Raw genomic sequence first — 21,625 nt, 5'->3', positions numbered from 1 at the left:
GCTGGCTACAAGTACCAGTGAGAGGGAGAGGTCCTGACAGTCCTGGGTGGTTTTTACTCCCCTCATGTAGCCCAGGACGGGGCTGCTGGGGGCTGGGAAGGGCCTGGGGATATGAGAGCCAGGGCTACTTGCCTCACCTCCTGACACTACCCCAGCTTCAGCCGAACCCTGCAGCCTGGCTCCAAGCCAGCCCAGCGGCAGGCTCAGCAGGTCCCAGGGGCGTGGCAGTGGCCAGTAGTAGAGCCGGCCCACACTGGCTAGGCAGGCAGCACAGTCCCGCGGACGGCTGAGCGTGTGGCTGCAGGAGCTTCTGTGGGAGTACGGTCATGAGCCTTTTGCTGTACTATGCCCTCCCTGCCCTGGGCAGCTATGCCATGCTCTCCATCTTCTTCCTGCGCCGGCCTCATCTGCTGCACACGCCCAGGGCTCCCACCTTCCGCATCCGCCTGGGGGCCCACCGAGGAGGTGAGCCGGGTAGGGGTGAGAACAGGTGCCAAAGTGGACAGCACAGAGGGGTAGGTCCAAGGGGGCATGCTAGAAACGGGGCAGGGACCAAGAGAGAAGGAGAGCGAAGTGGCAGGGCAGGGTGTGGACGAGGAAGAAGATGCTGGCGCAGCCTGGGCTGGCTGGGGAGGTGAGGCCAGAGGGAGGATGGAGCCCAGAGAGGGAATGTGGGTGATGAGGTTGGGCCAGGCCCCTAGACCCCAAGCCCCAGAGGCCCACTCCAGTGCCCCCCACAGGATCTGGAGAGCTGCTGGAGAACACCATGGAGGCCATGGAGAAGTGAGTGTATCTGCCCCTGCCCAGGCTGCCATGTGAGGGTGTGCAGGTCGTGGACTGCATCACAGCAAGGGACGCCATTCACTTCCTAGCTGGGTGACTGGCGCCCCCTGGAGGTGGCCTGCACATCCCGCCACGAACTCCGCTCTCACATTCCCGGCCACCTCCCAGCCACCATGCCCCTCATCCCAGTCCCCTGCCCCTGCCCCCCGCTGACCTTCACCCCCACAGCTCCATGGCCCAGCGCTCGGACCTCCTGGAGCTCGACTGTCAGCTGACACGGGACAGAGTGGTGGTGGTGTCACATGATGAGAACCTGTGCCGCCAGTCGGGCCTAAACAGGGATGTGGGCAGCCTGGACTTCGAGGTGGGCCCTGCCCTGACACCCCAACCCCCACCCTGAGAGTCACCATGCCCAATGCGGGCCTCTAGTGACATCCTTCCTGTCCTCCCCAGGACCTGCCCCTCTACAAGGAGAAGCTGGAGGTTTACTTCTCTCCAGGTGAGAGCAAGGGCTTCGAGCCCTGCCTGGGCCATGCCTGCCTTCCTTGGACCTCCGCCTTGGCTTCCCTCTGACCCCTTTTCCCACACCACCCCCAGGCCACTTTGCTCACGGGTCAGACCGGCGCATGGTTCGTCTGGAGGACCTGTTCCAGAGGTTTCCAAGGACACCCATGAGCGTAGAGATCAAAGGGAAGAACGAAGAGCTCATCCGTGAGGTGGTGCTGCAGGCAGGGCTAGGGCGGCCACCGGGGGCGTGAGAGAGGCCTGGCTCTCCCTTCACCTCCTTCTCCTCCTCCCAGATAGCAGGCTTGGTGAGACGCTATGACCGTAATGAAATCACCATCTGGGCCTCGGAGAAGAGCTCGGTCATGAAGAAATGCAAGGCTGCCGTGAGTCCCCCCACCCCTCCCCCGTCCTCTTCCTCCTCCAGGGGCCCCTCCTCCCCAGAGCTGGAGCCCACCCAGCATGGGGACCCGAGCTAGAGGGGTCTGGGAGAGTTCCCAGTGGCGTGGCGGTGGCAATGAAAAGGGTGTGAACTCAGGCCTCGAACACAGAGCCAAGATGTGACTTTTGTTTTTTTTCTTTTTTGAAACACAGTCTCTCTCTGTCGCCCAGGCTGGAGTGCGGTGGTGCGACCTCGGCTCACTGCAACCTCTGCCTCCTGGGTTCAAGCGATTCTCATGCTTCAGCCTCCCGAGTAGCTGGGATTACAGGTGCACGCCACCACGCCCAGCTAATTTTTGTATTTTTAGTAGAGATGGGGTTTTACCATGTTAGCCAGGCTGGTCTTGAACTCCTGATCTCAGGTGATCCACCTGCCTCAGCCTCCCAAACTGCTGAGGTTACAGGCGTGAGCCACCACACCCAGCCCCAAGATGTGACTTGGATCCTGCAGGTAGTAGGGCCTCTGGAATGCCCACCACGGCTCCCCTGCAGCTCATGCCTCCTCTCTGCTTCCCCAGAGCAGACAGATTCTCATGCCTCTCCTTGCCTCCCCAGAACCCCGAGATGCCCCTGTCCTTCACAATAAGCCGAGGATTCTGGGTGCTGCTTTCCTACTACCTGGGGCTGCTGCCCTTCATCCCAATCCCTGAGAAGTTCTTCTTCTGCTTCCTGCCCAACATCATCAACAGGTACCAGTGGGGGGCGGACCTCAGAAAAACTCCCCACTGCTTAGGGTCTCCGTGGAGAAGGAGCCCAGATCTTCCCAGCTCCCCAGCTCCCCTCAGAGATAACCCCCAAGGTCTTTTAAGGACAGTGGTTCTTACCCAGCATTCATGAATACTAAGGGAACTGTGAACACCCTGAAATTCTGTGCATATGTGGAGTTTTAGGATAGAGAGGTAATTTATCCATCTCAGGCCATCTAGCATATTTTATTGAATGTCTACTCTGTCCCAGGTGCAGTTATAATGTGTAAATGAGACCAGTGAGGGTGGGGAGAGGTCCTTGGTGAGCTTACAGTCTGGCTGGGGAGACATTCGTTCATTAATTATAGCACGGCTGTCTCAGACCCTCAGCAGGAAAAGGCCAAGTCAGTGTTCTGCAGGAAGGCAGGGGTTAACAAAGTAACAGCTGGGGAAAGGATCAGGAATTTGGATACTTCGCTGGCACTTAAGCCTAGTCCCTCCCTTTGCTTTACAATTTTTTTTTTTTTTTTGAGACAGTCTTGCTCGGGCTGGAATGCAGTGGCCAGATCATGACTCACTGCGCCTCGACCTCCTGGGCTCAGGAGATCCTCCTGCCTCAGCCTCCTAAGTAGCTGGGAGTATAGGCGTGCAACACTGCACCTGGCTAATTGTTAAATTATTTGTAGAGACAAGGTCTCACTATGTTGACCAGGCTGCTCTTGAACTCCTCAGCTCAAGCGAGCCTCCCACCTTGGTCTCCCAAAGTGCTGGGATTACATACCTGAGCCCCTGGGCCCGGTCTCCCTTTGCTTTCTGACAGCTTCTCTGTGGTAGTCCCAGAGCTCTCTGCTCCCCTCTGTTGTCCAGAAGGAAGTCCCACTCAGCCCCCACAATACCTTGCTACAAAGAGATCAATGATATTTGTGTACCACCTTTTTATACCGGATTTTTTTTGTGTTTTTTGAGGAGTCTTCCCCTGTTGCCCAGGCTGCAGTGCAGTGGCGTGATCTCGGCTCACTGCAAGCTCTGCCTCCCTGGTTCACGCCATTCTCCTGCTTCAGCCTCCCGAGTAGCTGGGACTACAGGCGCCCGCCACCACACCCGGCTAATTTTTTTGTGTTTTTAGTAGAGATGGGGTTTCACCGTATTAGCCAGGATGGTAATCTGACCTCATGATCCGCCTGCCTCGGCCTCCCAAAGTGCTGGGATTACAGGCGTGACCCACTGCGCCCGGCCTTATACAAGATTTATAAAGTGTTTTAACATATTTTGGGTTGACTTTTACCTTGCAGCACCCCCAGGAGGTATAAGAATCATGACTCCCATGGTACCCTAGAGAATCTGAGGCCCAGAGAGGTTCTGTAATTTGCCCAAGGACACACAGCTGGAAATCCAGAGCTTAGGTTTTCCCTGGGTCTGACTCCAGAGCCTGCCCTAGGACACTGTCAAGGGTCTCTAAAGTCACCCCTGGAGTGGGATAATTAGGGGTCGTCCCACTAAGTGCTGTCTGGTCTCAAGAAGCTGGCCAATGGGCACAGTGGCTCACGAGGTTTTTTGTGGGTTTTTTGTTTGTTTGTTTGTTTTTGAGACGGAGTTTTGCTCTTTTTGCCCAGGCTGGAGTGCAATGGTGCCATCTTGGCTCACCGCAACCTCCGCCTCCCAGATTCAAGCGATTCTCCTGCTTCAGCCTCCCAAGTAGCTGGCATTACAGGCATGCACCACCATCCTGGCTAATTTTGTATTTTTAGTAGACACAGGGTTTCTCCATGTTGGTCAGGGTGGTCTTGAACTCCGGACCTCAGGTGATCCACCCGCCTCGGCCTCCCAAAGTGTTGGGATTACAGGCGTGAACCACCGCGCCCGGCCATTGTTTTTTGTTTTTGAGAAGGAGTCTCACTCTGTGGCCCAGGCTGGAGTGCAGTAGTGCGATCTTGGCTCACTGAAACCTCCGCCTCCTGGGTTCAAGCAATTCTCCTGCCTCAGCCTCCCAAGTGGCTGGGACTACAGGGTCTGCCACCACGCCCGGCTAATTTTTGTATTTTTAGTAGAGACGGCGTTTCGCCATGTTGGCCACGCTGGTCTCCTCCCACCTCAGACTTTCAAAGTGCTGCGATTACAGGTGTGAGCCACCACACTTGGCTGGCTCGTGCTTATTATCCTGGCACTTTTGGGAGGCTGAAGCGGGAGGATTGCTTGAGTCCAGGAGTTCAAGACCAGCCTGGGCAACATAGTGAGACATGTCTCTACAAAAATTTTTTAATGGCCGGGCACGGTGGCTCACGCCTGTAATCCCAGCACTTTGGGAGGCCAAGGCGGGCGGATCACAAAGTCAGGAGATCGAGACCATCCTGGCTAACAGGGTGAAACCCTGTCTCTACTAAAAATACAAAAAATTAGCAGGCGTGGTGGCGGGCACCTGTAGTCCCAGCTACTCAAGAGGCTGAGGCAGGAGAATGGTGTGAACCCAGGAGGCGGAGCTTGCAGTGAGCTGTGATCGCACCACGGCACTCCAGCCTGGGCGACAGAGCAAGACTCTGTCTCAAAAAAAAAAAAATTAATTTAAATTAATAATAAGATAAATAGATAAATAAGAAGCTGGCCAGGCCCAACCAGGAGGGCCTGCAGCCTGGATGTCCAGCTTTGGAACCAAGCGAGGCCCTGGCCCAGCCCCACCACCACTCTGCTTTGGGTCTGGCAAGTCCCTTTCGTTCTCTAAGGCCCAGATTCCTTATCTGGTGAATGGTGACTGGAGGGCCACACCCTTGAAGCGTGGTGGTCAGAGTAGGCTCTCTGAACAATGGGTGAATTGTTCACTGGGGCAACTACAAAGGTTATTCTGGGGGATTCTGGGGGGTGGGAGGGCAGCGCTACCCTAGTTGGCGGGGGCACTACCAGCCCACCCCACCTCTGGGACAGGGGAGACCCTAGGAGCTAACCCCCACTTCCTTCTCTCTGCAGGACCTATTTCCCATTTTCCTGCTCTTGCCTGAACCAGTTATTGGCTGTGGTTTCGAAATGGTGAGGTGGGCAAGATGGCTGGGTGGCGTGTCCCCATAGAGACCTACTGCTGCCCTTCTCCCAGGTCCCCTCTCATCATCACCTCCCACGTCCCCACCCCACCCCCAGGCTGATCATGAGGAAGAGTCTGATCCGACACTTGGAGGAGCGAGGGGTGCAGGTGAGGCCGTGACCACCACTTCCACCGCACACAGACCTGGCAGCAGGGTTCCGGTCCCACTCTGCTGCCAACTAGCTGCATCACTCGGGCAGGTGACCTCACCTCAGTTTCTTCGTCCCTAAAATGGGAAAATGGTATATTTAACTCTCTGGATACACACACACACACACACGAACACACACAATTTTCTTCTTCTGTGTGTGTGTGTGTGTGTGTGTGTGTGTGTCAAGAGTCTCACTCTGTCACCCAGGCTGGAGTGCAGTGGTGCAATCTCGGCTCACTGCAACCTCCACCTCCCGGGTTCAAGCGATTCTCCTGCTTCAGCCTCCCCAGTAGCTGGGACTACAGGTGCCTGCCACCATGCTTGGCTAATTTTTGTGTTTTTAGTAGAGACGGGGTTGCACCATGTTGGCCAGGCTGGTCTCGAACTCCTGGCCTCAAGTGATCCACCTGCCTCAGCCTCCCAAAGTGCTGGGATTACAGGTGTGAGCCACCACGCCTGGCCACGCACATATTTTCTTAACCTGACATTGCCAACATATGGATATGTAACTAGTACTTATTAAGGGCTTGATAAATGTTAGCCATTATGATGACAACAATGATGTATCATGATCCCTGATGAGAGGGGGCTGGGGAAAGATGAGAGATGGGAGAAACCAGGCCCAGCCCACCCCCCTCTCCCCTGAGCATTGGCTTCCACCAGATCATTTAATTAGTAAACGATCCTTGAGAATGTTCCAGGCACTATGGTACTAGGGGTGGGAGCTTCCCATCAAGGGTACAGGGAAGAAATGCCATAGGCAGAGGCTGGGCACGGCTCCCACCTGTAATCCCAGCCCTTTGAGAGGCCAAGGTGGGAGGATCACTTGAGCCCAGGAGTTTAAGACCAGCCTGGGCAACATACTGAGACCCTCGTCTCTACAAAAAATTTAAAAATTAGCCAAGCGCAGTGGTTTACACCTGTAGTCCCAGCCACTCAGGAGGCTGAGATGGGAGGATCACCTGAGCACGGGGTTTCGAGGGTGCAGTGAGCTATAATCAGAATCACGCCACTGCACTCCACACTCCAGCCTGGGAGAGATAGCCAGACTGTCTCAAAAGAGAGAGAGGAAAGAGCGTGAGAGCCAGAGACAGGGAGAGGGAGGAGAGGGAGGGAAACAGGAAAAAGGAAAGGAAAAGGGAAAGAAAAGAAAAATGCAGAGGCAGGGTGCAGTGGCTCATGCCTGCAATCCCAGCACTTTGGGAGGCCAAGGCCAGCGGATCAACTAAGGTCAGGAGTTCGAGACCAGCCTGGCCAACATTGTGAAACCCCATCTCTACTAAAAATGTAAACATTATCCGGGTATGGTGGCGCATGCCTGTAATCCCAGCTCTACTTGGGAGGCTCAAGCACGAGAATCACTTGAACCCAGGAGCTGGAGGCTATAGTGAGCCGAGATCACGCCACTGCACTCCAGCCTGGGCGACAGAGCAAGACTGTCTCAAAAATAAATAAATAAATAAATAAAATATTAACTGGGCATGGTAGTGCATGCCTGTAGTCCCAGCTAGTTAGGAGGCTGAGGTGGGAGGATCACTTGAGCCCAGGAGGTCAAGGCTACAGTGGGCTGTGATTACACCACTGCACTCCAGTGTTGGCAATACAGAGAGACCTCGTCTCATCTGTATTTTTAAATAAAAAATTCCCATCTCCGCCTACCTCAGTGCCCACTCAACGGGCAGGGAAGGGGCAGAGCTGCAGGAGCTGGGGCAGGTGGCAGTGGAATGGGGGTTTGGGGGAGGGTGGTGCTGTTAAGTGGTCAACAACTAGCTCTCAGAGAGGAACAAATGAAAGCCCTGATTTGAGGATTAATTTTCCTGGTTTAAATACTCCCATCTTGGCCAGTTTCAGGCTGCCGACATGAAGCCACTAAATGCAGAATGGGAAGAGATGCATGGTGGCACCCCATCATGTAGTATTTCCATCTTGCAGCCTCAACAGACTTAATCACTTCAAGAACACAGTAATAGGAAACTGATTAGCAAGAGATATGCTTTGAATATTTATTACTGGATTTTTGTTTGTTTTGGGTTTTGTTTTTTGTTTTGTTTTGTTTTTTGAGACAGAGTCTTGCTCTGTTGCCCAGGCTAGAGTGCAATGGCGTGATCTCAGCTCACTGCAACCTCCACCTCCTGGGTTCAAGCGATTCTCCTGCCTCAGCCTTCTGAGTAGCTGGGATTACAGTCGCCCGCCACCACGCCCAGCTAATTTTTCTGTTTTTAGTAGAGATGGGATTTCACCATGTTGGCCAGGCTGGTCTCGAACTCCTGACCTTAGTTGATCTGCCTGCCTCGGCCTCCCAAAGTGCTGGGATTACAGGCGTGAGCCACTACGCCTGGCCACTTGTTGTTTTAATAATTTATTTAGGGCCGGGCGCGGTGGCTCACACCTGTAATCCCAGCACTTTGGGAGGCCGAGGCGGGTGGATCACGAGGTTAGGAGATCGAGACCATCCTGGCTAACATGGTGAAACCCCATCTCTACTAAAAACAGAAAAATTAGCTGGGCGTGGTGGCGGACATCTGTAGTCCCAGCTACTCAGGAGGCTGAGACAGGAGAATGGTGTGAACCCGGGAGGCAGAGCTTGCAGTGAGCCGAGTTCATGCCACTGTACTCCAGCCCGGGTGACAAACCAAGACTCCATCTCAAAAAATAAATAAATAAATAAATAAATAATTTAATTGTCAGTATATATAATTTTTTTTTTTTTTTTGAGACGAGGTCTTGTTGTATCGCCCAGGCTGGAGTACAGTGGTGCAACCATAGCTCACTGCAGCCTTAGAGTCCTGGGCTCAAGCAATTCTTTCACCTCAGTCTTCCAAGTAGCTGGGAGCACAGGCGCATACCACCACACCGGGCTAATTAATTTTTACAAAGTTTTTTGTAGAGATGAGGTCTCACTCGATCTTAAACACCTGGCCTCAACTCCTGCCTCGGCGTCCCAAAGTGTTGATATTACAGGCGTGAGCCACTGCACCCAGGCTATGATTTAATTTTTAATAATGGCTGGGTTTAATAACCACTTTGCAAAATTCCTGAGAATTTAACAATCAGCTCCAGCCTACTGCTGCTGGGGAGTCTCCATAGAGGAGGAGGTGGGTCCCCACTCTCCAGATGTAAAATTGTTCAGAATCTACAGGCCCCCTCCCTCCCTGCTCAGGTGGTCTTTTGGTGCCTTAATGAAGAGTCGGATTTTGAAGCAGCCTTCAGCGTGGGAGCCACTGGCGTCATAACGGATTATCCCACAGCCCTGCGGCACTACCTGGACAACCATGGACCAGCTGCCCGGACCTCCTAAGTCCAGAAGCCTCGAGGTCTCCTGTTTCTCTTCCTGAAAAATAAATATTTGCCTTTCGATCACATCGTTGTGCTGAGGGTGAGGAGTAGAGGGGTGGGTCCTGAAGATATGAAGATGGCAGCTTAGGAGGGAACAGGCCAGCCCTGAGGCTGGAGCCTGGGGCCCTCAGGAGCCTGACCCACTGGTTCCACTGCATTCCTGTCCTCCTGCCACACCCCACCCCAGCCTGGCCTCCACTCTCCTCAGCAATGTCCTCTCACGGCCAACCCAGGCATCCTGGCCCCCAGCCACTTGACAGCAACAGGTAATGGTTCCATTTTCCTGAGGCCATCAACAGCCCAGGCACCGGGCAGGGAACTTGATCTCTTCCATGTCTTGCCCTGTGAGCTTCCTTCTCGGGCTGCAGAGGATGGGCCTGGGTGGGACAGCTGAGTTCACCCAGCCCCTCTGCTGCCCCCGCCATTCCAACCTTCTCCTCCCAGGTCTCCTTCTCCAGAAGCTCCCAGAATGCTTCTGCCATCTTCAGCCCCAGGGCCATATTCACTGAAGGAACTACACATTCACATTTCACAGATACTTCCTGAGCGCCTCCTCTAGACCAGGCTGGGCCCACTGCAGTGAGCAACACAAGCCAAAGAACTGCAGACACGTGTTGAAACAGACATTCCCTGAGATCAGACCTAACCCAGCCTGGAGCACAGGGGTGTTGGAAACAAGTGCTCAGTGTAGTCAAGAAAAACCAGCACTGAGACAGATTTCCCAGCAAGGCATCTTTACTTCAGAACGGTGCTACTTGCGCAGCTTGTAATCGCAAGAGCACCCCAAACAAAGGAGAGAAGGGCTTTTTAACCCTAACGCAGTTCCTGTTTCTGTGTCCTTTCCCCATTGACTGGGGATGGACTGCACAATCTGAGCTGATCCCGACTGGCTAAGGTTTAAACTTTCCCAAACAGGGTAGACTGGCGAAAAAGAAGAAAAACGGGGAGAAGTTTATGACCAGGAAGTTGAGTCTTTGAAGAGCTTAGCTGTCCCAACAATTTCCTCTCTTCTATTTGATACTTCTTCCTCTGCAAAAAATTTTAACAGGATTTGGCTTCGTTGTTCTTCTTGATTATCCAGGAGCAAGAGCTTGTCCAAGTATGGAGGGAGAGAAGAGAGGAAGGCTTTAGTGAGGGCTGTTTCTATGAGCCTTTGAGTTAACCCACGAATACAAGGTATGATGCGGCAGCCCACAAGGATAAGTACACTTGTTACAATTGCAAGAGAGGTAAAGATTGAAGCCAGGAGTCCTTTCCATTTTCCAAACCACTTTTCCATGAGACCCATAAAAGGGTTATCTAGTCCAGAATTTTCGGCTAATTCATTTGCCAGGGTGGTAAGGCCTTGTAAAGCTTTTGTGATGGTCCCGTCGGCGGCTGTATTATTAGGGATAAAAGTACAACATTGGACTCAGATCATGACACAGACTCTGCCTTTTCCTGCCAATATCATGTCAAGGGCTAGTCTATTTTCCCAGGTCATCTGGCTGGTGGGGCCTAATTGTTCAGCTATTCCTTTGATGGCATCCCTGGTATAACTGACGAATCGCTGCTCGCTGTAGTATATATAATTTATCCAGTCTACATTTTTATTTATAGCAGACCACCAGAACAAAACAGACTTAAACCCAGCGGCTATTTGATTCCAAGCTTTAAATTCACTTGGTAGCTCCCGTGGGACCCTGCTACTGTCTATGTAAACATGGGGGTCAAAGGCCCACGAGGGGCTTCTCTTTTTCTTTGGGTTACTTGCTTCCTGTCTGGTTGATGAAATGCCAAGGTGAAAGGGATGGCCAACTGGATTAGAGCAAAAGTGCTGCTCCAATTGCTTGGCAGCGTACCCAGTAACAGTCCACAATACCACCATACATCTGCTCGGGGATAGACAAGGGCTGACTGATTGGTTAGCTCTTGAAAAGGTTTAGACTCCCATTAGATTTCCAAGGAACGTCAATTTGTCCTGTTGTGGGAGACACAAGGTGTAACTGGCATTGAGAGGTGGAAGTCAAATGGTCCTTGGGAGCTGACCCGTAGGGCTCCTGATCTTTGGGAAACGTAGTGAAAGAGTGGCGCACGTCTTGTTTCCCCAGGCTGTGGTGTGCTGGAAGAGAGCTACCATACAGTCCATGCCTGGTTGGTTGGCCCATCTGAGTGGAAAGGGGACAATCTGGGTTTCCGGCCTGCCCGCTGCACAAGAGTAACAATCGCTTTTATTCAGGGTGCGAAAAGAATATTTAATCCATTCCAGCCAGGCATTTGCATCTTGATACCCGGTCTCAATGGCTAGGGTTTGCTTTAAGTCCTTGACTTCTACTATAGCTACTTTGGTTTTGTCATTGGGTAAGAGGTGAGGAATGGTTTGATTTGGTGGGCTTGGGGAGGGGGAGACGGTAGGAGGTGGAGAAGGGTGAACAAAACATATTTCAAAGAAGCCTATAGGGTCCCTTCCAGTAACATCGGCTCCTAAGCCATAGAAGCAACCTAGAGTGGAGTTAGGGTCGGTGGAGGTAGGGGTAGTAATAGAGGTAAGTACTGGGTTGCACTGGTTGGATTGGCAATTATAGGGGTGGTTCCCTTGATAAAGTAAAGGCTGCTTCCTTCGGGTTTTATTAGTTTTTTTGCACACTAGGCAACTATCCGCCACCTGACTAGCGAGGGTAGAGATTCCTATATACCCATAGGCTTTGAGGACTGTGTCACACATAGCTTGGGGACCCCAGTGAGTTTCTTGATAAAGCTGTGATAATATTTCCCTCATAAGAGGTTTAGACAGCATTTCCCTCCCGTCTGGTAATACCCACCTTCCCTCTGAGCTTTCCTTAGCTCCTATTCTTTTTAACTTTTCTTGGTCCGCGTCGGAGAAGATGGGGATTGCGACTGGAGGGGAAGGCAAGGGGTCAGATGGAAAATGGGTGCCTCTCAGGAAGAGGCAACTTGCTTGGCTACTTGATCTGTGAGGTTATTTCCCCGGTTTTCAAAAGATGGGTTTTTCTGGTGTCCTGGGACGTGGACCACCACTATTTCTTCTGGCAGTTGAAGATTTTCTAGTACTTGCATAATCAATTCTTTATAGACAAGGTCCTGGCCCTTACTATTAATGAGGCCTCGTTCAGTCCAGATCTTTCCAAAGGTATGGACTACTCCAAAATACTTGGAGTCAGTGTAAATAGTTCCTTCCTGATTTTGCAGAGATTTTAAGGCCTGATTTAATGCAAAGAGTTCACATGTTTGAGTGAACCAGTTATTGGGCCGTCTCCCTGACTCTACCTCCATGAGGGTTTCCCTGTCAACTACAGAGCACCCGTTATGCCTCCTTCCTTCAATTACCCGAGAGGAGCCGTCTATAAAGAGGTAATGCCCAGTTTGGAACAGGGTCTTGCTTAGATGCAGTCTGACTCTAGTCTGATAACTGATCAGATCTAAACATTTATGCTCAGGTTCCTCCCGGTTCGGATTTCCTGTTAGGAAAACATCGGAGTTGAGCGAACTACCAGTGGTCAATGTTAAATCATCCCTCTCTAATAAGATAGCCTCAATTTTTTTGGGGGGTGGGTGGAGGATGGAGTCTCGTTCTGTTGCCCAGGCTGAAGTGCAGTGGCTGATCTCGGCTCAGTGCAACCTCCGCCTCCGGGGTTCAAGCAATTCTCCTGCGTCAGCCTCCCAAGTAGCTGGGATTACAGGCGTGCGCCACCATGCCTGGCTAATTTTTTGTATTTTTAGTAGAGAGGGGGTTTCACCATGCTGGGCACTCTGGTCTCAAACTCCTGACCTTGTGATCTGCCCACCTCAGCCTCCCAAAGTGCTGGAATTACAGGCGTGAGCCACCACACCCACCCGATAGCCTCACATTTTAAAATCCTTGAGTCAGTGAGCTATCTTCCTGCCTTCTGATTAAGAATGGTTCTAACGTGATGAAGGGTACATACAATGAGGCTTCCCCCAAAGGTTATTTTCCTGCTTCGTTCCATTAGCAAAGCAGTTGCTGCTACAGACTGGGCACATTCGGGCCATCGGTGGGTTACTGGGTCAAGAACTTTTGACAGGAAGGCTATGGGCTGCCAGTGGCCTCTGTGTCTTTGGGTGAGTACCCCTAAAGCCAACCCCTTGTTTACACTGATGAAAAGGTGGAATGGCTAAGGAGGGCAAAGCTATAACGGGGGCAGTTACAAGTAGGTGTTTTAACTCTTCTACTTGTTGGACTTCTGATAGGGTCCAAAGAAGGGGGTCTGGTCCTTCTTGGGTGAGTTTTTTATGTAGAGATTTTGTTTTTCAGGCATAAGAGTCAATCCATAGACGACAGTATCCAACTAATCCCAAGAATTTTCTAAGTTCCTGCTTTGTTTCAGGCAAAGGTAGAGATGTGACACCTTCAATTCGTTCAGGTACTATTTTCCGTTTGCCTTTACTGATTAGGTGTCCTAGATATTTTACCTCAGGTTCTACAAACTGAATTTTACTCCTTGAGACCCGTAACCCTTGTTCCCTTAGGAAATTCAGGAAGTTAATTGAAACTGTGGTTATGTGGTCCTTGCTATTTCCTGAAATGAACAGGTCATCTGCCTATTCGAGTAGGCATATGGATGAAGGAAGGGAAAAGTTTTCTAGGACTTGTTCTAAAATTTGACCGAATAGATTTGGGGAGTCTGTAAACCCCTGGGGTAGGACTGTCCACTGGTACTGCTGTTTTCGACCTAAGTGAGGGTCCTCCCACTCAAAAGCAAACATGTCCCGGCTGTCTTCCGCTAAAGGGCAAGCCCAAAAGCCATCTTTCTTTTTTTATTTTTTATTTTATTTATTTTTTGAGACAGAGCCTGGCTCTGTTGCCAGGCTGGAGTGCAGTGGCACGATCTCGGCTAACTGCAACCTCAGCCTCCTGGGTTCAAGCAACTCTCCTGCCTCAGCCTCCTGAGTAGCTGGGATTATAGGCACATGCTGCCATGCCTGGCGTGTGTGTGTGTGTGTGTGTGTGTGTGTGTGTGTGTGTGTGTATTTTAGTAGAGACGGGGTTTCACCGTGTTGCCCAGGCTGGTTGCAAACTCCTGAGTTCGGGCAGTCTGCCCGCCTCAGCCTCCCAAAGTGCTAGGATTACAGGTGTGAGCCACCGTGCCCAGCTGGCATCTTTCAAATCTATCATTGTGAACCACTGGTGATCATATGGGATTTTGCTGATAATAGTGTAAGGGTTGGGAACAACAGGGTGGGTAGTTTGAGCTGTTTGATTAACAGCCCAGAGGTCTTCTACTAGCCGGTATGACCCATCTGACTTTCTTACAGGCAATATTGGAGTGTTATAAGGGGACATACAGGGTTCAAGGGGTCCGTCATGGACGAGGCCCTCAATTATAGGTTTTAGAGCCATTCTAGCTTCTAAGGGAATAGGGTATCGTTTTCTCCTGACCACTTCCCTGGGAATTTTTTTTTAATAAATAAATCAATAAATCAATAAATAAATCTGACGGTGGAACCCAAATCAGAGTTAATCACTTTCTTTCTTTTTTTTTTTTTTTTTTGAGACGGAGTCTTGCTCTGTCTCTCAGGCTGGAGTGCAATGGCGTGATCTCAGCTCACTGCAAGCTCCACCTGCCAGGTTCACACCATTTTCCTGCCTAAGCCTCCTGAGCAGCTGGCACTACAGGCGCCCGCCACCACGCCCGGCTAATTTTTTGTATTTTTTTAGTAGAAACAGGATTTCACCGTGTTAGCCAGGATGGTCTCGATCTCCTGACCTCATGATCCACCCACCTCGGCCTCCCAAAGTGCTGGGATTACAGGCTTGAGCCACCATGCCCGGCCTTTGAGCCTCTCTTAATTAAAAGTTCCTCTATGGAGCAGTCTTGCCAATTTTCTATCTTTTGTAATTTCTTTCTAATGTCCGGCCGACTGTTGGTGATAAAATAGAGCTTTAACATCCCTTGTCCAAGTGGGTCCTCTATGTCTAAGCCTGAATATTTTCTTATTTGCTCCTTAAGTGTCTTTAAAAATTCCATGGGCCCTTCATCTTTTTCTTGGTGTACATTAAATGCTCGAGAAATATTTTGGGTTTGAGGCACCAATTCCTGAATCCCTTTAATTATCATATCCCTGAGGTCTTTCATGTTTTCTCAGTGGGCTGCATTGTTCCTATTCCACTGAGGGTCCTGGGCTGGGAATTTCTGCTCTGCTGCAGGGATGTTTTGACCAAGAGGGTGTTCACATTCCCAGACTATCATAGCAGCCCTGCGGATCATGGTTCTTTCCTCCCCTGAGAAGAGAATACCTAAGATGGACATTAATTCAGCCCAAGTATACAATTGCGGCCCTAAAAATTGTTCAATTTGATCTGTGACTCCAAAAGGATCATCTGATAATGGTTTGAGTTCCTTTTTCAGATTTCTAACCTCTGAACTAGTTAAGGGGGCATTTACGAAACCAATACCCCCTCCTCCCAGTGGTACTTAAGGGAAAAGGGGTTGGGGCAGACCCCTTTGAGGAAGAGGGAAAAGGAAAGTTCTGAATATCCCTCCGGCATTGTTCCATCTCGTGCTGGAGTTTTCCTGAGGAAAGGACATGTTCGGGTGGCTGCTCAATGGGGATGTGGGGCCACAAGGCCCACAGGGCAGGGTTATGTGGGGGAGGGACTGAGTGATTAGCCTGAGGTGGGGTAGGCGGGGGAAGATGGTCTAGGGGATCCTATACATTGGCATCTTTAGATGTAGAATCTGACTTAACTGGGTTGTCCTAGGAGGGTACTGAGTTTGGTTTCTCTTTTACGTCATCCTTTAAGGGAAAGGGAAGGACATGTTCCTGTCTCCAACACAGAGCATAATCTATTTCCTCTTGAGAGACTGGACTTTTTTTATTAACATACTGGATTAAGAGTTGGCATATCCAATCCTCGTCTGATCCAAACTTTGGCCAAAAGACTGAGGGTCTGAGGATAGGTTCTTTGGTCCAAATAAAACAGCAATATTTTATCATTCACTGTCTTTCCTTGTGTTACATGGTTCTTTCATTATACCTCCAGTACTCTAACATAAGGCCCAGAGGACTGTCAGGGGGAATTTTATTGTCTGCTTGGCCTTTTGTACTCCCTGTCTTACTTGGGGTATTTCCCATTCTGGAGGTTGGTGCCCATTTCCTAGGGGCTTAACCTCTCCCTTTTCCCATTGGAGGTTTCTTGCACTCATATGAATAATCGCTTCGTACTTTTTGGCCGCTTCCCTCGTGGGAATTTCAGGCCCCTCTTAGCATTAGCGGGTCGGTATAATCCCCGACTGGAAAACCGCCCTAAGCCTTATGAGGTGACCATGGAACCAAGTCTGGACTCCACACTCGATTCGTGTCCACTGACATGTCTCAGCCATGCACTTTCAACCTCCAAGTGACCCCAACCACCAAGGAAATACTTTGTCGCCCCAGTAGCAACTTTTCTTACCTTGGTCTGTGCACAGAGTTACCCACTTGCCTGGGAATTTTAAGGCTCCTTCCTGCCCACGTTGCTGAAAGTCCGGATTTATTCCTCACTTTGGGTGGACCCGATCCTCCGCTCCTTGGGCCACTGCAACAAGGCAGTGGGACGTGTCTCACGAGGAAAAGTAATCGCTACCCCTCCCAAAGGAGAATGGGATCCCAGAAGACCCTCAAATTTGTTGAAAACAAGTGCTCAGTGTAGTCAAGAAAAACCAGCACTGAGACAGAAGACTTCCCAGCAAGGCATCTTTACTTCTGCAGAAGGGTGCTGCTTGCGCTGGTTGCAATCCCAAGAGCACCCGCCAACAAAGGAGGGAAGTGGTTTTTAACCCTAACGCAGTTCCTGTTTCTGTGTCCTTTCCCCATTGGCTGGGGGGTTGGACCGCACAATCTGAGCTGATCCCGATTGGCTAAGGTTTAAACTTTCCCAAATAGGGTAGACGTGCGACAAAGAAGAAAAAGCGGGAGTAGAATCTGTTTACAGCTTATGACCAGGAAATTGAGTCTTTGAAGAGGAACTTAGCTGTCCCAACAGAGGCATCCGAGAGGCCTGGAGGAGGTGATGCTGGACAGTAGGAATTGCCTGGTCCGACGCCCTGGCTGCCAGGGGCGCGCATCTTTGGGTCTTCCCTGCTAGAAGGTGAACTGAGTGTGTCCCTGGCGCTCTGGCAAAAGCCATGGAATGGGCCCACAGTGAGAATTCCAGCTTCGCCTCTTACTAGCTGGATAACCTAGGGAGCCGCGAGACCTCCCTGGGCCTCAGCCCCCGGTACAGTGGAGCCAACGGGAGAAACGGCCTCACGGGATTGATGCGGGGATTGAGCGGGGCACGGGCGGCGGACAAACGCGGGTCATTATACTCATCTCCCCCAGAGCATGCGTCCCAGCGCCACCCGCTTCCTCGCTCCGCGCCCGGCCTAGACCTTCCGACCCCGCCCCTGCGCGGGCCACAAGCAGGAATGCGAGCAGGCCTGGGGCGCGCGGGCCGCAGCCGCATTTCCGGGCCGGCGGGAGCGGGCGGCGGGGGAGGGGCGGTCGGGGCCTGCGCCGGCCGCCGTGTGACGCGCCCCCTCATTTGCATGCGGAGCGCCCATTGGCCACGGCGGCCGCCGGGACAGGAGGCGGGTCCCCTCCCCCTCCCGCCGCAGCGGCGGCAGCAGCTGGGCTCGGTGTAAACAAGTCCAGGCGCCTGCGAACCCGGGCCCGGGGGGGACGGCGCCCGCCAGGAGCGCCCCCCACTCCCAGGCCAGCCCACCCCGGCGGACCGGGCCCCGCGCGCCCAGGCGAGGTGAGGCCCGCGCCGTCAGGGCTGCGTGTCGCCCCGCGCCCCTGCCCAGCCCGCGAGGACTGCCCCCTCCCCCGGCGCCCGCCCCCACCCCCGCGCCCCAGGTGAGCCCCGGAGTCCAGGTAAGGCTCCGCGTTGCAGGTAAGAGCCCCTGAGCGTAGAGGAGGCCTTGGCGCCCGCAGGTGAGAGCCCCTCCCCTCCTAGGTGACCCTCAACCTTCACGGCGAGGCCTCCTACCTCCTCCAGGTGGGGGACCCTCTCCCCGATGAACCCCCTAAACCACCAGTGAACCCCACTGCTCTCCAGATGAGGTCGCAAGGACCAACCAGTGCCTACCCGCCCATGCTCCCCCGAAACTGGGAACTGACAGCCCAGCCCCTCCAAAGCCCCTTCCTCCAGCTTCAGCTGCCAGGTCAGCAAGGGTGAGGCCGGAAGCAGGCGGGTGACTCACCCTGGGCACCTCCGAGCCTCAGTTTCCCCATGGATGCAACCTGAGGCCTCCTCACTGAGTCAAAACCGAGACGCCTCTGGTCCCCGGAGAGGCTGCTGGCTCTGGGGAAAGGAGAGAGCAGCCCAGTGTGACAGAGCGAGTCCCCACGGCTCTGGGAGTGCCTCGCATGTGTGTGGCCCAGGTCCTGACAGCCCACCTACTCCCTCCCCGGCAGGCACTGGGCTCCCTCTGCTCCCCGTGGGCCGCTCCCCGCGTGGGGCCACTGCCCCCGGCCCCCGCCATGGTGCGGATTTCAAAGCCCAAGACGTTTCAGGCCTACTTGGATGATTGTCACCGGAGGTATAGCTGTGCCCACTGCCGCGCTCACCTGGCCAACCACGACGACCTCATCTCCAAGGTAACCAACCAGGCCACAGTGGGGCTGGAACCTATAGGGGCTGCCTGGCAGCTCCCCACCGGCAGCCCTGACCCCCTCCTCTCTTCCCACCCTCTCACCCTTTAGTCCTTCCAGGGCAGTCAGGGGCGTGCCTACCTCTTCAACTCAGTGTGAGTATCTGGCCTCCCTTCTTGCTTTCCCTGACCTCTGTTGTGACCTGTGACCCCTGGCATCCTGCTGAGACTCCCAGAGTTCCCCGGTGCAGGCAGGAAATTGTGAGCATCATTTCTTGGATGCTGAGGACAGACACAGTGCTTGAGGGGGTGGGCCCTGTGATGGCAGGACCCTCCCTGGGACTACCCCATGTCCCCACAGGGTGAACGTGGGCTGCGGGCCAGCCGAGGAGCGGGTGCTGCTGACCGGCCTCCATGCTGTCGCCGACATCCACTGCGAGAACTGCAAGACCACTTTGGGCTGGAAATATGTGAGTCACCCACCTCTGACCCCAGGCTAGCCTTTGACCTGACCTTCCAACACCTCCTCCTGACAAGCTGTCACCCTATAGCCTTTCAGATTGCATAGGCCGAGCTCACACAAGTCAGCATCCCTGACCACATTCTCTTTATCTTGCACCTTGCAAGGGGTGTAGAACTTTTCTCTTAACCCATCCCTTCTCTCCCAGGCACTTGGATCCCCATTAGAGAGTTAGGATATAATCAGAGTCACCATTTATGGAATGTTTATGTGCCTTGCACTGTTGTGTGCCTGGCGTCTATTATCTCATTCAATCATTGCAGTGATCCTCTAGGTAGAAGCTATTATTATCTCTACAGAAGAAGACAGGGAGGCCCAGAGATGTTAGGTAACTTGCCCAAGATCACCCAACTGGTAAGTAACAGAATAGGGACCAGAATCTGAGTTGGTTGGTTGGTTTTTTTTTTTCACTCCAAACCCTTGGTCACCAGCTTATATTGTCATTTAGAGTATCAGAAAAATTGCCCCAGACTCTGCAACAACATGGAGCTTGGGTTCACCAGCCTCCCTTTCCATAGTCCTCATTGCCACTGCTGCTGTCCAGGGTCTGATTTCACTACCCTGAGTCTCATTTCCTTATCTCTCAGTGGAAGATAAAGCCACTGCCTAGCACCCAGGATTGTTACAGGGATCAGATTAGATGCTCAGGAAGATGCTCTTGGGACACTGCAAGGGACAGGATTCTTCAGGCGTCGCTTGGAACTGTGGTGCCTCTGTGAGGTGGATGTCCCAGGCAGAGCCAGCCAGCCAGCCCTGACCTGAGCTCGCTGCTGACCCTGCCACAGATTGGCTGTGTGTCTCTGGACAGGTGGCTTGGCCACTCTGGACCTCTACCAAATAAAGAGCTGGCCGGCCAGGCACAGTGGCTCACACCTGTAATCCCAGCACTTTGGGAGGCCGAGGCGGGTGGATCACAAGGTCAGGAGATTGAGACCATCCTGGCTAACACGGTGAAACCCCATCTCTACCAAAAATACAAAAAAAAAAAAAAAAAATCAGCTGGGTGTGGTGGCGGGCGCCTCTAGTCCCAGCTACTCATGAGGTTGAGGCAGGAGAATTGCGTGAACCCAGGAGGCAGAGCCTTGCAGTGAGCGGAGACAGAGCGAGACTCCGTTTCAAAAATAATAATAATTAATAAAGAGCTGGCCTAAACAAGAGGTCAAAAACTCAAGTGCCAGGCTGGGTGTGGTGGCTCACGCCTGTAATCCCAGCACTTTTGGGAGTCTGAGGCAGGTGGATCACCTGAGGTCAGGAGTTCGAGAACAGCCTGACTAACATGGTGAAACCCCATCTCTACTAAAAATACAAAAATTAGCTCGGCGTGGTGGTGGGCGCCTGTAATCCCAGCTACTCGGGGCCAAGGCAGCAGAATCACTTGAACCCGGGAAGCGGAGGTTGCAGTGAGCCGATATCGCGCCGTTGCACTTCCAGCCTGGGCGACAGAGCAAGACTCCCTCTCAAAACCAAACAAACAAAAAAACCTCAAGTGCCTGCAAGGCCAAGCAGATACTGTAGATGTGTAAAGGGTAGCATAGATTGGCAGGGTTGGGAGTTGGGGGCAGGCTGGGCAAACTGGAGTGAGCAAGGCCTACTTATATTTTAATACTTTAAAGTTATTTTTATTAAACTGTCTGCTGTCCAAACATAATACATGTTGTAGGCCAAAATGGCCATGAAGCTACCAGTTTGCAAACCCTGAACTGTGAAATCTTTTAGCCACTTCCCTATCTTCTCTGTTGGAGCCATCATTAGTACTTAAAAAAGTACCTTTGAGTCAGGGAGTTCTATTCTACTCTGTGTTTGTGAGAAATACGGCCCTGCCCCTCTGGGCCACAGTTTCCTCATATGTAAAATGGGGCCACTCATGTCCACTTCCCAACCCCAGTGCCTTGTGGTGAGACTGTTGCTCCGGGGATGACGGTCCCGCCCCTCCTTTCAGGAACAGGCCTTTGAGAGCAGCCAGAAGTACAAAGAGGGGAAGTACATCATTGAACTCAACCACATGATCAAAGACAACGGCTGGGACTGACCCCCGCTCCCCCGACGCATGTGGCTCCAGCCCGGCCTGGCCGCCAGGGAGCGCCACTGGCTTCCCGCCACCCGAAGGGAGCTCTGGACCCTCAGAGCCCCTGCAGAGGACGGATCTAGCTCCTGTATATATATTTTATTGCATGCACTGTGACCTTGGGGGGAGAACAGAAGGGGGACGACGCCCCCGCACCTCCTGCGATCTGGCTGGCTTGGATCTCGTTTTTAACCCGTTCCTGCCCCACCTGCCCTATAGTTATGGCCTGTGTTCTGCTCTCCTGGTCCCAGTGCACCGTCTGCTCTGTGAACTCCTCCCACCAGGCCCTTCTTACCCCACGCGTGTCTGTCCCCCTCGTTCTGTAGCGTTTGTACATAATAAAACAATGGAGTGGAGACAGCTCAGGCTCGCGTGTAATCCGGGAAGGGGGAGCTCAAGCGGAGATTTCCGCCCCTATAGACCTGTGCGGTTCTGAGCCCCGGCGGGGCATGGGGTAGGCACAGCCGTCCAAGCTGGGTCTCCGGGAACCGGGA

At 52.6% G+C, this 21,625-nt stretch overlaps 2 protein-coding genes and 1 long non-coding RNA gene across 5 annotated transcripts, besides 7 other annotated features; 2 read left to right on the top strand and 1 right to left on the bottom strand.

Annotated features, from left to right (window-relative positions):
* Positions 3 to 297: a silencer, noted in NCBI's record as "tiled region #9068; K562 Repressive DNase unmatched - State 5:Enh". NCBI's record gives its function as "represses a minimal TATA promoter and a strong SV40 promoter by Sharpr-MPRA in K562 cells {active_cell/tissue: K562}" and the evidence as "EXISTENCE:reporter gene assay evidence [ECO:0000049][PMID:27701403]".
* Positions 268 to 8,995, top strand: GDPD3 (glycerophosphodiester phosphodiesterase domain containing 3). Of its 2 annotated transcripts, NM_024307.3 has the most exons (10): positions 268 to 465; positions 741 to 783; positions 1,012 to 1,147; positions 1,237 to 1,282; positions 1,381 to 1,499; positions 1,584 to 1,673; positions 2,284 to 2,417; positions 5,373 to 5,432; positions 5,541 to 5,592; positions 8,796 to 8,995. In NM_024307.3, the coding sequence occupies exons 1-10, from the start codon at positions 327 to 329 to the stop codon at positions 8,931 to 8,933; spliced, it is 957 nt and encodes a 318-aa protein (NP_077283.2). In that variant the 5' UTR covers positions 268 to 326; the 3' UTR covers positions 8,934 to 8,995. The 2 variants fall into 2 exon arrangements, 1 of the variants encoding a protein (NP_077283.2); XR_007064912.1 differs by lacking the exons at positions 5,373 to 5,432; positions 5,541 to 5,592; positions 8,796 to 8,995 and having other exon boundaries at positions 1,588 to 1,673; positions 2,284 to 2,387.
* Positions 8,349 to 17,375, bottom strand: YPEL3-DT (YPEL3 divergent transcript). Its single transcript, NR_135192.1, has 2 exons — positions 16,386 to 17,375; positions 8,349 to 10,348 (listed from the first exon to the last, which is right to left on the bottom strand). It is a non-coding gene; the product is annotated as a YPEL3 divergent transcript (long non-coding RNA).
* Positions 17,146 to 17,195: a silencer, noted in NCBI's record as "silent region_7355". NCBI's record gives its function as "represses an Ori minimal core promoter by ATAC-STARR-seq in GM12878 lymphoblastoid cells {active_cell/tissue: GM12878}" and the evidence as "EXISTENCE:reporter gene assay evidence [ECO:0000049][PMID:35858748]".
* Positions 17,146 to 17,772: a biological region, named in NCBI's record as "H3K27ac-H3K4me1 hESC enhancer GRCh37_chr16:30107354-30107960".
* Positions 17,166 to 17,772: an enhancer, noted in NCBI's record as "H3K27ac-H3K4me1 hESC enhancer chr16:30107354-30107960 (GRCh37/hg19 assembly coordinates)". NCBI's record gives its function as "activates a minimal SCP1, AML or CMV promoter by ChIP-STARR-seq in naive H9 embryonic stem cells {active_cell/tissue: H9 hESC(naive)}" and the evidence as "EXISTENCE:reporter gene assay evidence [ECO:0000049][PMID:30033119]".
* Positions 17,216 to 17,285: a silencer, noted in NCBI's record as "silent region_7354". NCBI's record gives its function as "represses an Ori minimal core promoter by ATAC-STARR-seq in GM12878 lymphoblastoid cells {active_cell/tissue: GM12878}" and the evidence as "EXISTENCE:reporter gene assay evidence [ECO:0000049][PMID:35858748]".
* Positions 17,346 to 17,695: a silencer, noted in NCBI's record as "silent region_7353". NCBI's record gives its function as "represses an Ori minimal core promoter by ATAC-STARR-seq in GM12878 lymphoblastoid cells {active_cell/tissue: GM12878}" and the evidence as "EXISTENCE:reporter gene assay evidence [ECO:0000049][PMID:35858748]".
* YPEL3 (yippee like 3) lies at positions 17,592 to 21,491 on the top strand. Of its 2 annotated transcripts, NM_001145524.2 has the most exons (5): positions 17,592 to 17,708; positions 18,371 to 18,553; positions 18,659 to 18,702; positions 18,908 to 19,016; positions 21,006 to 21,491. In NM_001145524.2, the coding sequence occupies exons 2-5, from the start codon at positions 18,437 to 18,439 to the stop codon at positions 21,093 to 21,095; spliced, it is 360 nt and encodes a 119-aa protein (NP_001138996.1). In that variant the 5' UTR covers positions 17,592 to 17,708; positions 18,371 to 18,436; the 3' UTR covers positions 21,096 to 21,491. The 2 variants fall into 2 exon arrangements, with proteins under 2 accessions (NP_001138996.1, NP_113665.3); NM_031477.5 differs by having other exon boundaries at positions 17,592 to 18,553.
* Positions 21,222 to 21,411: an enhancer, noted in NCBI's record as "active region_10690". NCBI's record gives its function as "activates an Ori minimal core promoter by ATAC-STARR-seq in GM12878 lymphoblastoid cells {active_cell/tissue: GM12878}" and the evidence as "EXISTENCE:reporter gene assay evidence [ECO:0000049][PMID:35858748]".

The sequence above is a fragment of the Homo sapiens genome, chromosome 16 (assembly GCF_000001405.40).
Source record: "Homo sapiens chromosome 16, GRCh38.p14 Primary Assembly".
NCBI lineage: Eukaryota > Metazoa > Chordata > Mammalia > Primates > Hominidae > Homo > Homo sapiens.
This window is presented reverse-complemented; position numbering and strand designations above follow the sequence as displayed.